Source organism: Homo sapiens, chromosome 14, assembly GCF_000001405.40.
Source record: "Homo sapiens chromosome 14, GRCh38.p14 Primary Assembly".
In the NCBI taxonomy this organism is placed as follows: domain Eukaryota; kingdom Metazoa; phylum Chordata; class Mammalia; order Primates; family Hominidae; genus Homo; species Homo sapiens.
The window spans coordinates 54,017,248-54,033,144 of NC_000014.9; the positions used below are offsets into that span (position 1 = coordinate 54,017,248).

A 15,897-nucleotide genomic window follows, 5' to 3' on the forward strand; every position below is an offset into this window, starting at 1 on the left:
AAAGAAAAGTTCAGGCCAATATCCTCTATGAACATAGATAAAAAATTCTCAACAAAATACTAGCAAACTGAATCCAGGAGCACATACAAAAGACAATTCACCACAATCAAGTAGGCTTTATCTCTAGGATGCAAGGTTGGTTCAACATATGCAAATCAATAAATGTAATTCATCACATAAACAGAACTAAAAACAAAAAAATGCCTATTTCAATAGATACAGAAAAGACTTTTGATAAAATTTAACATTGCTTAATGTTAAAAACCCTCAACAAAGTGGGCACTGAATAAACATACTTCAAAATAATAAGAGCTATCTATAATAAACCTACAGCTAACATGATACTGGATAGGCAAAAGCTGGAAACATTCCCCTTAAAAACTGGCACAAGACAAAGATGCCCTCTCTCATCACTCCTACTCATGTAGTACTGGAAGTCCTGGCCAGAGCAATCAGGCAAGAGAAAGAAATAAAAGGCATTCAAATGTAAAGAGAGGAAGTCAAACTGTTGCTATTTGCAGACAATATGATTCTATATCAGAAAACCCCATAGTCTCTGCCCAAAGGCTCCTTGATCTGATGAACAACTTCAGCAAAGTTTCAGGACATAAAATCAATGTACAAAAATGAATAGCATTCCTATACAACAACAATATTCAAGCTGAGAGCTAAATCATGAACACAATCCCATTCACAATAGCCACAAAAAGAATAAAATACCTGGGAATACAGGTAATCAGGAAGATGAAAGATCTCTACAATAAAAATTATAAAACTCTGCTCAAAGAAATTAGAGATGACACAAACAAATGGAAAAATATTCCATGCTTGGGGACTGGAAGAATCAATATCATTAAAATGGCCATACTACCCAAAGCAATTTACACATTCAATGCTATTTCTATAAAACTACCAATGACATTCTTCATAGAATTAGGAAAAACTATTTAAAATTTCATATGGAACAAAAAAAGAGCCTGAAGAGCAAAGGTAATCTTAAGCAAAAGGAACAAAGCTGGAGGCATCACATTACCCAACTTCAAACTATACTACAAGCTTACAGTAACCAAAATAGCATGGTACTGATACAAAACAGACATATAGACCAATGGGACAGAATAGAGAGACCAGAAATAATGACACACACCTACAACCATCTGACCTTGACAAAATCAACAAAAACAAGCAATGGGGAAAGGACTCCCTATTTAATAAATGGCGCTGGGCTAACTGGCTAGCCATTTGCAGAAAATTGAAACTGGACCCCTTCCTCACATCATATACAAAAATTAACTCAAGATGGATTAAAGACTTAAACATAAAACCAAAACTGTAAAAACCCTGAAAGATAACCTAGGAAATACCATTCTGGACAGAACATTTGGCAAAGATTTCATGAGTAAGATGCCAAAACCAATTGCAACAAAAACAAAAACTGACAAATGAGATACAGTTAAACAAGAGCTTCCAAACAGCTAAAGAAACTATCAACAGAGCAAACAGACAACATACAGAATGGGAGAAAATATTTCAAATTATGCATCCAACAAAGGTCTAATCTCCAGAATCTATAAGGAATTTAAACAAGTTAACAAGCAAAAACAACCCCATTAAAAAGTGGGTAAAGGACATGAACAGAAGACGAAAGAAGACATACATGCAGCCAACAACCATATGAAAAAATGCCAAATACTTAAAGCCAACTGATCTTCGACAAAGCATGCAAGCACATAAATTGGGGAAAGGACATCCTATTCAATAATGGTGCTGGGAAGACTGGCAAGCCACATTTAGAAGAATGAAACTGAATCCTCATCTTTCACCTTATACAAAAATCAACTCAAGATGCATCATAGACTTAAATCTAAGACCTGAAACCATAAAAATTCTAGAAGATAATATCAGAAAAACTCTTCTAGACATTGGCTTAGGCAAATAATTCATGATTAAGATGTCAAAAGCAAATTCAACAAAACCAAAAATAAATAAAATGAGTTCTAATTAAACTAAAAGGCTTCTGCACAGCAAATAATAATAATAATAATCAGCAGAGTAAACAGACAGCTCACAGAGTGTGAGAAAATATTCACAAATTATGCATCTGACAAAGGACTAATATCCAGGATCTACAAAGAACTCAAATGAATCAGCAAGAAAAAAAAACCACAAATAATCCCATCAAAAAGTGGCAAAGGACATAAATAGACAATATCAAAAGAAGATATATGAACAGCCAACGAACATATGAAAAAATGCTCAATATCAGTAATTATCAGGGAAATAAAAATTAAAATCACAGTGAGATACCACCGTACTCCTGCAGGACTGGCCATAATTAAAAAGTCAAAAAATAATAGATGTTGGCGTGGATGTGGTATAAAGGGAAGACTTTTACACTGCTGGTGGGAATGTAAACTAGTACAACCACTATGGAAAACAGTACGGAGATTCCTTAAAGAACTAAAAAGAGAACTACCATTCGATCCAGCAATCCCACTACTGGGTATCTACCCAAATGAAAAGAAGTCATTATATAAAAAAGACACACGCACACACATGTTTATAGCAGCACAATTTGCTATTGCAAAAACATGGAACCAACCTAAGTGCCCATCAACCAATGAGTGGATAAAGCAAATGTGGTATATATACAGCATGGACTACTACTCAGCCAGAAAAAGGAATAAAATAACCTCTTTTGCAGCAACTTGGACGGATTTGGAGGCCATTCTTTTTTTTTTTTTTTTTTTTTTTTTTTTTGGAGATGGAATCTCACTTTGTTGCCCAGGCTGGAGTGCAGTGGCACAATCTTGGCTCACTGTAACCTCCGCCTCCCAGATTCAAGCGATTCTTCTGCCTCAGCCTCCTGAGTAGCTGGGATTACAGGCACGTGCTACCACGCCTGGCTAATTTCTGTATTTTTAGTACAGATGTGGTTTCATCATGTTGGCCAGGCTTGTCTCAAACTTCTGACCTCAGGTGATCTGCCTGCTTTGGCATCCCAAAGTGCTGGGATTACAGGTGTGAGCCACCACGCCTGGTGGAGGGCATTATTCCAAGTGAAGTAACTCAGGAAGGGAAACTCAAATATCATTTGTTTTCACTTACAAGTGGGAGCTAAGCTACAATGATGCAGAGGCATAAGAATGATATAATGGACCTTGAGGACTCGAGGGGGAAGCCTGAGAGGGGGATGAGGGATCAAAGACTACATATTGGGTACTGTGTACACTGCTCAGGTGATGGGTGCATCAAAATCTCAGAAATCACCACTAAAGAACTTCTCATGTAACCAAAAACCACCTGTATCCCAAAAACTATTGAAATTGAAAAAAAAATATTCAAAATCACTAATTATTAGGGAAATGCAAATCAAAACCACAGTGAGATACCATTTCATATCAGTCAGAATGGCTATTATGAAAAAGTCAAAAAAATAAAAGACGCTGACAAGGTTGTGGAGGAAAGGGAATGCTTGTATACTGCTGGTGGGAATGTAAATTAGTTCAGCCATTGTGGAAAGCAGTTTGGCAATCTGTCAAAGAACTCAAAGCAGAATTACCATTCAACCCAGCAATCCCATGATTGGGTATATATACCCAGGAGAATATCAATTGTTCTACCCTAAAGACACACACACACACATGTTCATCACAGCAATATTCACAATAGCAAAGACATGGAATCAACCTAAATGCCTATCAGCAGTTGACTGGATAAAGAAAATGTGGTATATATATATACACCATGGAACACTATGCAGCCACAAAAAAGAATGACATCATGTCCTTTGCAGCAACATGGAGGCCATTATCCTAAGCGAACTAACAAAGGAACAGAAAACCAAATACTGCATGTTCTGACTTACAAGTGGGAGCTAAACATTGAGCATATAAGGACACAAAGAAGGGAACAACAGACACTGGGGCCTACTTTAGGGTGGAGGGAGAGAGGAGCCAGAGGATCAAAAAACTACCTATTGGGTACTACGCATATTACCTGGGGGATGAAATAATCTGTACATCAAACCTCCATGACACGCAAATTATCTATACAAAAAATCTGCACATGTACCCCGAACCTAAAATAAAAGTTTGAAGAAAAAAAGAAATTGTTTTTTCTACTTCTAACTTCTAAGAGAGATTGCAGAGAAATTGTAAGATTTCTTCCTTACACAGTGGAATTCAACAGTGAATTCATTTGGGCTGGTGCTTTCTGTTTTGAAAGCTTATTAATTATTCATTAAATTTCTTTGATATAAGCCTGCTCAGATTGTCTATTTCTTCTTGGGTAGGTTTTAACAGATGGTGTCTTCCAAAGATTTGTCGATTTCATGTAGGATATTAAATTCATGGGCATGTAGTAGTCCATAGTATTCCTTTATTGTCATTTTAATGTCCATGGGATCTGTCCTTTTCCCTTCTTTCATTTCCATAATTTGTGGTCTCTCTCTTATCTTCTTAGAAGTTGCACATAATTCTTGCCTTTGCTCTTCAAGGGGGGTTAAGTGTTTATTACCTCTGGCTTCTTTCAAGATCTTTTCTTTAACTTTGATTTCTGAAGTTTGAATATAATATGCCTAGATGTCAGGTTTCTTTGGCCATTTATCCCGTTCAGTGCTCTCTAAGCTTCCTTGGCCTGTGATTTGGCGTCTGACATTAATTTGGGGGAAACTCTCACTGATTATTGCTTCACCTATTACATCTGTCCCTTTCTCTGCTTCTCCTTCTTGTACTCACATTATACAGAGTTAACATCTTTTGTAGTTGGGCCACAGTTCTTGGATATTCTGTTTTGTTTCTTTTCCCAATCTTTCTTTTCTTTACTTCTCAGTTTTGGAAGTTTCTATTGTTACTTCCTCAAGTTCAGGGATTCTTTCATCAAGCTGGTAATGAGCCTATCAAAGGCATTCTTCATTTCTGATACAATGTTTTGATCTCTAGCATTTCTTTTTTATTCCTTCTAATATATATGCTTAAATTATCTATCTGTTTTTGCATTTTAAAACAGTTTGAATTAGTGACAGTTTTCCACTAAAGCCCTTGGCATACTAATCAGAGTTTTAAAAAAATTCCTGATCAGATAACTCCAACATTTTTACCATAACGTACTTCTCATTCTGATGCTTGTTTGGTCTCTTCAATCTGGTTTTTTAAAAAATCTTTTATGATTATTATTATTATCTTTAGAGACAGGGTCTCACTATGTTGCCTAGTCTGGCCTTGAACTCCTGGACTCAAGTGATCCTCCCACCTCAGCCTCTTAAGTAGCTGGGAATACAGGCACGCACCATTGCCCCTTGCTTTACCTTTTAGTATGCCTTGTACTTTTTTATTGAAAGGTAGACCTGCTGTATTGAGTAAAAGGAACTGCAGTAAATAGGCTGTTAGTAATGTAGTGGCAAGGGGAAGCATTCTACAGTCTTATAATCAGGTCTCAGTCTTTGGGTGAGCCTCTGCCCCTGGACTGTGAATTTCAGCAGTGTTTCTCAATTTTGTTTTTTCCACCTTAGGTGGGACAGGATGGCTAAAGGGAATTGGCATTGGGTATTTTCCTTCCCCTACATGGAAAGCTAGAGTTGGCTACAACTCTATGGATATTTGTATTCCCCCAGGTTGGTTACTCTGATAATATGCCAGCAGACTGGCTCTGATAAAATAGCTTCTCTTCAGGGAAGGCCTTGCTAAAAAGAGCAGAATGCACTGGCATATTTTAAAATGGTTTCTTGTCTCCTTCCCCAGCGGAAACACGAGAGGCTTTTTCTCTGATATTCACTGTTAGGACCTGGTAGAGTTCCTGGAGGCAGAACAAAATTGTGAGAACCTTTCCTCACAACCCCACTGCACCCTCTCCCCCGGAAGATTGGAAGTCCCCTAGAGTTTGTAATTTTCACAGTTGTCCACATTGGGCCTCTGGTAATGCTTCACTTTCAGTGTATGTTTTCCTACACTGGTACTCGTTGCCACAGAGGTGTATGCTCACAGGTTTCTGTTCACACAAGCTGTGATTTTCTGTATCCACCTGTCAGTCACTCTAATTTGGGGAGGCTGCAGTTAGTCCTGTGACCTCACTTCTCTGATGGGTCTCAGATTGCTGCTGATTTTTCAGTTTATTCAGACTTTTACTTATTATTAGGACAGAGTGGTGAACTTCTAAGCTCCTTACATGCTGGACCAGAAACAGAAAGTCCCTTGACTAGTTTTATATCAGAGTTTTGCCAGCCACATAGTATTTTTTCATTTAATTTTTTAAAAGAATATTCAAATTTATTTAAATAGGCAGATAAAATTCTATGTATTTATTATTTACAATATAATGTTCTGAAGTATACACACATTGTGAGATGATAAAATCTAGCTAATTAACATATGCATTACCTCATACTTAACATTTTTGCAGTAAGAACACTTACCATCCACTCTCTTAGCATTTTTCAAGAATACAATATATCGTCATTAACTATAGTCATCATGCTGTACAATAGATCTTTTGAACTTATTCTGCCTATCTAACTGTACTTTTGTATCCTTTGACAAACATCTCCGCAACTTCCCCACCAGCCACCTCAACGTCTGGCAACCACCATTCTACTCGCTGTTTCTGCAAGACCAACTTTTTTAGATTCCATATATGAGTGAGACCATGTGGTGTTTGTGTTTCTGTGCCTGGCTTATTTCACTTAACATAATGTCCTCCAGGTTTATCCATGTGGTTGGAAATGACAGGATTTCCTTCTTTTTACAGCCGAATAATATTTATATATATATATGATATATCTGATATCTGATATATATAAGATATTCATATATACATATGACATATATATCACATTTTCTTTATCCATTCATCTGTTAATGGACATGGGTTGATTCCATATCTTGACTATTGTGAACAGGGGTAAAATAAACATGGGAGTGCTTAGATGTCTCCCCAACATACTAACTTTATTTCCTTTGGATATATACCCAACAGTGGGATTATTAAATCATATGGTAGTCTTATTTTTAATTTTCTGAGGAAACTATATACTGTCTTCCATAATGGCTGTACTAATTTGCATTCCCTTAGTGTGCAAGGATTCCCTTTTCTCTACATTAGTGTTCTCATCAACACTTATCTTTTGTCGTTTTGATAATAGCCATTCTAACAGGAGTGAAGTGATATATCACTGTGGTTTTTTTTTATTTGCATTTCCATGATGATTAATGATGCATTTTTTCATATGCCTATTGGTCATTTGCATGTCTTTTGCCTATTTTTAAATTGGGTTGTTTTTTTGCTATTGAGTTGTTTGAATTCCCTATATATTTTGGATATTAACCCTTGTATTAGAAGTATAATTTGCAAATATTTTCCACTATTCTGTAGACTGTCTCTTTACTCTGTTTCCTTTGCTGTCTTTTTAATTTGATGTAATCTCATTTGTCTATTTTTGCTTTTGTCTCCTGTGTTGTTGAGGTCATATCCAAAAAGAGCATTTCCCAGGCCAATATTGTGGGGATTTTCCCCTATTTTTTTTTTTTTAGTAGTTCTATGGTTTTGGGTTTTACATTAATCCATTTTGAGTTGATCTTTGTATATGGTGTGAGGTAAGGGTCTAATTTCATTCTTCTGTATTTGGATATCCAGTTTTCACCACTGTGTGTTCTTGGCACCTTTGTCAAAAATCAACTAGGTGTAAATGTCATTTAGTTTATATGGCCTAGGAATTATCTAATATTTAAGAATGTGGTACAATTTGCACGTAAGACTATCTGAACCTGGTGCCTTTTTTCAGAGTGGTAGGCCTTTTACTATCTTTTTTTATTTTATTCCTTTTATTAGCCTATTTCAGATTTTTTTTTACCTCCTTTAGTTAATTTTGATAATTTGCAGTTACCTAGAAAATTATCGATTTAATCAAGATTTTCAAGTCTATTGATATACACTTACAGACAGATTCTTCTCTTTTTTTTGAGACAGAGTCTCACTCTGTCACGAGGCTGGAGTGCAGTGGCGTGATCTCAGCTCACTGCAACCTCCACCTCCCATGTTCAAGTGATTCTCCTGCCTCAGCCTCCCAAGTAGCTGGAACTACAGGCACACACCACCGTGCCCAGCTAATTTTTTTGTATTTTTAATAGAGGCAGGGTTTCACCATGTTGGCCAGGATGGTCTCGATCTCTTGACTCCGTGATCTGCCCACCTCGGCATCCCAAAATGCTGAGATTACAGGCGTGAACCACCACACCCAGCCTAAAGACAGATTCTTAAATAATTTTTCCTATCTACCATTTTGTTGCCTTTCTCATTCCAAATATTTATTTGCCATTCTCTCTGTATTAATCTATTAGTGGAATAGCAATAGTTTTTGTCTATTTCATAAGTCTTTTCAATTTATGACCTATAGGTTTTATTGTTAAAATCTTTTTTGTGGTTGTTGTAGTTTAAAAGTATTTCTGTTTTTGTCTCTATTATGCCTCTCTTCAATTTCGTTTATTTATCTTTTCTAGTTTTATGAGTTGAGTGCTTTAAGGAAGACAATTTCATATAAGACTGTTTATTCCAGTAAGGTTAATTCCTACCCCCTGCCAACAATAAAAGTCCAATATCATTATTCTGCCACCAGGTGGCTGGCCAGTGATACTGATTTATGGTGACATAGCAGGGCTCAGTGTTAATCTCTGATGTTGGCAAAGTAGACACACAGCAGTGAAAGAAGCCATATCCCACATATATAATTTTCATCCTTCCCACCACACTTTCAATAAGCTCACTGAGCAATCACTGGAGTGGCCAAGGAAAGTGGCTGCTGACTTACATCCCTGAACTGGCCATCTGGTCCATCCTTTGCCATCTGATTGAGAAAGTCCTTAGTTTTGAGGGCCATTGGTGAGCATTCATAAGGCACCAATACTGACACACTCTGGACCTAAGGTGGGGAAATGGGAGTGGTTCAACAGGTGCAGGTGATAAGAAGTGCATTGTTGGCAGATAATTTAAATAATAATAATAATAATGGCAACTACGATTTAATCTTCTTCTTCTTAGCACCATCTGCTAGCAATTCCAAACAATGCCAGTTCACAATACTCCCTCTCAAAAAACTTTCTGCTGGTCTAAGTTCTAAAAAGTTGCTTGTACCTGGGGCAAGCCACTCCTACCACCCACCCTTGGTATAATAGAGGTTTCCATCCACTTACCCTGCCCCTAGATCCTCTCATTATCAATCCTCAGTATTGTTCTTCTCTAGTCCCTGATGACCCAGACAAGTATTAGCCACTGATTATAAGTCATTTTAGACTCGTAATGCAGGACAACTTTCTTTCCAGGATATGTGAAGAAAAGATATTCCACATATAATTCTGCCTATTACAGAGAGGATTTCTCTTCATCATTGTCCTTGTCATCACACACAATTGAGGTTAATGAGAACAGTCTGCATATAGCACAGTATCACCTAAAAATCAAGTTTAATGTTTTGCTTCTTTAATCAACTGGTCATAGGGTACTCCTCCCACCCATGAAGCTATGTAAGCAGGTAGAAGGTGATGTGGCTATGCATCAACAGTAGGAACACTGAGAATGTGAGCCGCTTGCTCACACAACTCACTGGTACATTTAAGGCCTGCTTAAACTCAGTCTTATGTCACTTGCTTAGCCTTGTTGAGTAAGTGCTGCTAGGCAACCCAATTTTATGACTTGATAAGTAAGATAATACCCATTCATGATAGGCAGTCTTGCAGCAAACTAGATAGAACCCACATCTAGGATAGGAGCTGATTGGAGTTACTATTACTACCTAACTAATTTTACAATAATCGACTGATATTCTCCAAAATTACTTGTTATTACTAGGTAACTTGTCATGAAGATAGGAGGATTCACCACTCCTTTGTCTTTCAACTTTGTGATGATGTTAATAATTTCTGCAATACCTCCAGGTATAAAGTATTGCTTCTGATGTATTGTTCATCTGTGTTCTTGAAGTTATTTGCATAAAATTGTTCATACTACCCCTTTACTATCCTTTTAATGCCTCTAGGATCAGTAGTGATGACCTCTCTTTCATTCCTGACAACTGTGACTTGTACATTCTCTTTTTTCTCTGTCTTACTATATTTTAATCAATTTTATTAACATTTTCAAAGAACAAACTTTTGACTTTGTTACTTTTCTCTATTTTCTGTCCCTTTTCTATGTAAATTGCTTTTCATTCTTGTATGTATCATTTTCATATTTCTTCTTAATTTTGGTTCAATTTCCTCCTTTTTCTGTCATCTTCAAGTAGAAGTGTAGATCATTTATTTTAAGCATTTTTTCTAAAATAAACACTTAAAAGTATAAATGTCCTTCTATGCACTGCTTTAGCTGTTTCCTACAAATATGAAATACCTTCATTATCATGTAGTTCAAAATACCTTTTTCTCAAGTTGAGAATTCTTTTATTTATTTATTTACTTATTTTTTAAATTATACTTTAAGTTCTAGGGTACATGTGCACAACGTGCAGGTTTGTTACATATGTATACATGTGCCATGTTGGTGTGCTGCACCCATTAACTCGTCATTTACGTTAGGTATATCTCCTAATGCTATCCTTCGCCCCTTCCCCCACCCCACGACAGGCCCCCAGTGTGTGATGTTCCCCATCCTGTGTCCAAGTGTTCTCATTGTTCAATTCCCACCTATGAGTGAGAACAAGCAGTGTTTGGTTTTCTGTCCTTGCGATAGTTTGCTCAGAATGATGGTTTCCAGCTTCATCCATGTCCCTGTAAAGGACATGAACTCATCCTTTTTTATGGCTGCATAGTATTCCATGGTGTATATGTGCCACATTTTCTTAATCCAGTCTATCATTGTTGGACATTTGGGTTGGTTCCAAGTCTTTGCTATTGTGAATAGTGCCACAATAAACATATGTGTGCATCTGTCTTTATAGCAGCATGATTTATAATCCTTTGGGTATATACCCAGTAATGGGATGGTTGGGTCAAATGGTATTTCTAGTTCTAGATCCTTGAGGAATCACCACACTGTCTTCCACAATGGTTGAACTAGTTTACAGTCCCACCAACAGTGTAAAAGTGTTCCTATTTCTCCACATCCTCTCCAGCACCTGTTGTCTCCTGACTTTTTAATGATTGCCATTCTAACTGATGTGAGAAGTTACCTCATTGTGGTTTTGATTTGCATTTCTCTGATGGCCAGTGATGATGAGCATTTTTTCATGTGTCTGTTGGCTGCATAAATGTCTTCTTTTGAGAAGTGTCTGCTCATATCCTTCACCCACTTTTTGATGGGGATGTTTGATTTTTTCTTGTCAATTTATTTAAGTTCTTTGTAGATTCTGGATATTAGCCCTTTGTCAGATGGGTAGATTGTAAAAGTTTTCTCCCATTCTGTAGGTTGCCTCTTCACTCTGATGATAGTTTCTTTTGCTGTGCAGAAGCTCTTTAGTTTAATTAGATCCCATTTGTCAATTTTGGCTTTTGTTGCCATTGCTTTTGGTGTTTTAGACATGAAGTCCTTGCCCATGCCTATGTCCTGAATGGTATGGCCTAGGTTTTCTTCTAGGGTTTTTATGGTTTTAGGTCTAACATTTAAGTCTTTAATCCATCTTGAATTAATTTTTGTATAAGGTGTAAGGAAGGGATCCAGTTTCAGCTTTCTACATATGGCTAGCCAGTTTTCCCAGCACCATTTATTAAATAGAGAATCCTTTCCCCATTTCTTGTTCTTGTTTTTGTCAGATTTGTCAAAGATCAGATGGTTGTAGATGTGTGGTATTATTTCTGAGGGCTCTGTTCTGTTCCATTGGTCTATATCTGTTTTGGTACCAGTACCATGCTGTTTTGATTACAGTAGCCTTGTAGTGTAGTTTGAAGTCAGGCAGCGTGATGCCTCCAGCTTTGTTCTTTTGGCTTAGGATTGTCTTGGCAATGCGGGCTCCTTTTGGTTCCATATGAATTTTAAAGTAGTTTTTTCCAATTCTGTGAAGAAAGTCTTTGGTAGCTTGATGGGGATGGCATTGAATCTATAAATTACCTTGGGCAGTATGGCCATTTTCACGATATTGATTCTTCCTCTCCATTAGCATGGAATGTTTTTCCATTTGTTTGTGTCCTCTTTTATTTTGTTGAGCAGTGGTTTGTAGTTCTCCTTGAAGAGGTCCTTCACATCCCTTGTAAATTGGATTCCTAGGTATTTTATTCTCTTTGAAGCAATTGTGAATGGGAGTTCACTCATGATTTGGCTCTCTGTTTGTCTGTTATTGGTGTATAGGAATGCTTGTGGTTTTTGCACATTGATTTTGTATCCTGAGACTTTGCTGAAGTTGCTTATCAGCTTAAGGAGTTTTTGGGCTGAGACAATGAGGTTTTCTAAACATACAATCATGTCGTCTGCAAACAGGGCCAATTTGACTTCCTCTTTTCCTATTTGAATACCCTTTATTTCTTTCCCCTGCCTGATTGCCCTGGCCAGAAATTCCAACACTATGTTGAATAGGAGTGGTGAGAGAGGGCATCCCTGTCTTGTGCCAGTTTTCAAAGGGAATGCTTCCAGTTTTTGCCCATTCAGTATGATAATGGCTGTGGGTTTGTCCTAAATAGGTCTTATCATTTTGAGATATGTTCCATCAATACGTAGTTTATTCAGTTTTTAGCATGAAGGGCTGCTGAATTTTGTCAAAGGCCTTTTCTACATCTATTGAGATAATCATGTGGTTGTCTTTGGTTCTGTTTATATGATGGATTGCCTTTATTGATTTGCATATGTTAAACCACCGTTGCATCCCAAGGATGAAGCCAACCTGATCATGGTCGATAAGCTTTTGATGTGCTGCTGGATTTGGTTTGCCAGTATTTTATTGAGGATTTTTGCATCGATGTTCATCAGGGATATTGGTCTAAAATTCTCTTTTTTTGTTGTGTCTCTGCCAGGCTTTGGTATCAGGATGACGCTGGCCTCATAAAATGAGTTAGGGAGGATTCCCTCTTTTTCTATTGATTGGAATAGTTTCAGAAGGAATGGTATCAGCTCCTCTTTGTACCTCTGGTAGAATTCGGCTGTGAATCCATCTGGTCCTGGACATTTTTTGGTTGGTAGGCTATTCATTATTGCCTCAATTTCAGAGCCTGTTATTGGTCTGTTCAGGGATTCAACTTCTTCCTGGTTTAGTCTTGGGAGGGTATATGTATCCAGGAATTTATCCATTTCTTCTAGATTTTCTAATCTATTTGCATAGAGATGTTTATAGTATTCTCTGACGGTAGTGTGTATTTCTGTGGGATTGGTGGTGATATCCCCTTTATCATTTTTTATTGCATCTATTTGATTCTTCTCTCTTTTGTTCTTTATTAGTCTTGCTAGTGGTCTGTCAATTTTGTTGATCTTTTCAAAAAACCAGCTCCTGGATTCATTGATTTTTTGAAGGGTTTTTTGTGTCTGTATCTCCTTCAGTTCTGCTCTGATCATAGTTATTTCCTGCCTTCTGCTACCTTTTGAATGTGTTTGCTCTTGCTTTTCTAGTTCTTTTAATTGTGATGTTAGGGTGTCAATATTAGATCTTTCCTGCTTTCTCTTGTGGGCATTTAGTGCTATAAATTTTCCTCTACACACTGCTTTAAATGTGCCCCAGAGAGTCTGGTATGTTGTGTCTTTGTTCTCATTAGTTTCAAAGAACATCTTTATGTCTACCTTCATTTCGTTATGTACCCAGTAGTCATTCAGGAGCAGGTGGCTCAGTTTTCATGTAGTTGAGCAGTTTTGAGTGAATTTATTAATCCTGAGTTCTAGTTTGATTGCACTGTGGTCTGAGAGACAGTTTGTTATAATTTCTGTTCTTTTACATTTGCTGAGGAGTGTTTTCCTTCCGTCAATTTTGGAATAAGTGTGATGTGGTGCTGAGAAGAATGTATATTCTGTTGATTTGGGGTGGAGAGTTCTGTAGATGTCTGTTAGGTCTGCTTGGTGCAGAGCCAAGTTCAATTCCTGGATATCCTTGTTAACTTTCTGTCTCTTTGATCTGTCTAATGTTGACAGTGGGGTGTTAAAGTCTCCCATTATTATTGTGTGGGAGTCTAAGTCTCTTTGTAGGTCTCTAAGGACTTGCTTTATGAATCTGGGTGCTCCTGTATTGGGTGCATATATATTTAGGATAGTTAGCTCTTCTTGTTGAATTGATCCCTTTACCATTATGTAATGGCCTTCTTTGTCTCTTTTGATCTTTGTTGGTTTAAAGTCTGTTTTATCAGAGAATAGGACTGCAACCCCTGCTTTTTTTTGTTTTCCATTTGCTTGGTGGATCTTCCTCCATCCCTTTATTTTGAGCCTATGTGTGTCTCTGCATGTGAGATGGGTCTCCTGAATACAGCACACTGATGGGTCTTGACTCTTTATCCAATTTGCCAGTCTGTGTCTTTTAATTGGAGCATTTACCCATTTACATTTAAGGTTAATATTGTTATGTGTGAATCTGATCCTGTCATTATGATGTTAGCTGGTTATTTTGCTCGTTAGTTGATGCAGTTTCTTCCTAGCCTCAATGATCTTTACAATTTGGCATGTTTTTGCAGTGGCTGGTACCAGTTGTTCCTTTCCATGTTTAGTGCTTCCTTCAGGAGCTCTTGTAAGGCAGGCCTGGTGGTGACAAAATCTCTCAGCATTTGCTTGTTTGTAAAGGATTTTATTTCTCCTTCACTTATGAAGCTTAGTTTGGCTGGATATGAAATTCTGGGTTGAAAATTCTTTTCTTTAAGAACGTTGAATACTGGCCCCCACTCTCTTCTGGCTTGTAGAGTTTCTACCGAGAGATCTGCTGTTAGTCTGATGCGCTTCCCTTTGTGAGTAACCCGACCTTTCTCTCTGGCTGCCCTTAACATTTTTTCCCTCATTTCAACTTTGGTGAACCTGACAATTATGTGTCTTGGAGTTGCTCTTCTTGAGGAGTATCTTTGTGACGTTCTCTGTATTTCCTGAATTTGAATGTTGGCCTGCGTTGCTAGGTTGGGGAAGTTCTCCTGGATAGTTCTCCTGTAGAGTGTTTTCCAACTTGGTTCCATTCTCCCCATCACTTTCAGGTACACCAATCAGATGTAGATTTGGCCTTTTCACATAGTTCCATATTTCTTGGAGGCTTTGTTCATTTCTTTTTACTCTTTTTTCTTTAAACTTCTCTTGTCACTTCATTTCATTCATTTGATCTTCAATCACTGATACCCTTTCTTCCACTTTATCGAATTGGCTACTGAAGCTTGTGTATGTGTCACGTAGTTCTCGTGCCAGGGTTTTCAGCCCCATCAGGTCATTTAAGATCTTCTCTACACTGTTTATTCTAGTTGGCCATTCATGTAATCCTTTATCAAGGTTTTTAGCTTATTTGCAATGGGTTCTTTGTGATGGGTTCGAACATCTTCTTTTAGCTCAGAGAGGTTTGTTATTACCGATCATCTGAAGCCTTCTTCTCTCAACTCGTCAAAGTCATTCTCCATCCAGCTTTGTTCCATTGCTGGTGAGGAGCTGTGTTCCTTTGGAGGAGAAGAGGCACTCTGATTTTCGGAATTTTCAGCTTTTCTGCTCTGGTTTCTCCCCATCTTTGTGGTTTTATCTACCTTTGGTCTTTGATGATGGTGACATACAGATGGGGTTTTGGTGTGGATGTTCTTTCTGTTTGTTAGTTTTCCTTCTAACAGTCAGGACCCTCACCTGCAGGTCTGTTGGAGTTTGCTGGAGGTCCACTCCAGACCCTGTTTGCCTGGGTATCACCAGCGGAGGCTGCAGAACAGCAAATATTTCAGAACGGCAAATGTTGCTGCCTGATCCTTCCTCTGGAAGCTTTGTCTTAGAGGAGCAACCAGCCGTATGAGGTGTCAGTCGGCCCCTATTGGGAGGTGCCTCCCAGTTAGGCTACTCGGG

General features: G+C 37.8%; 1 annotated feature.

Annotated features, from left to right (window-relative positions):
• Positions 5,857 to 5,906: an enhancer, noted in NCBI's record as "active region_8409". NCBI's record gives its function as "activates an Ori minimal core promoter by ATAC-STARR-seq in GM12878 lymphoblastoid cells {active_cell/tissue: GM12878}" and the evidence as "EXISTENCE:reporter gene assay evidence [ECO:0000049][PMID:35858748]".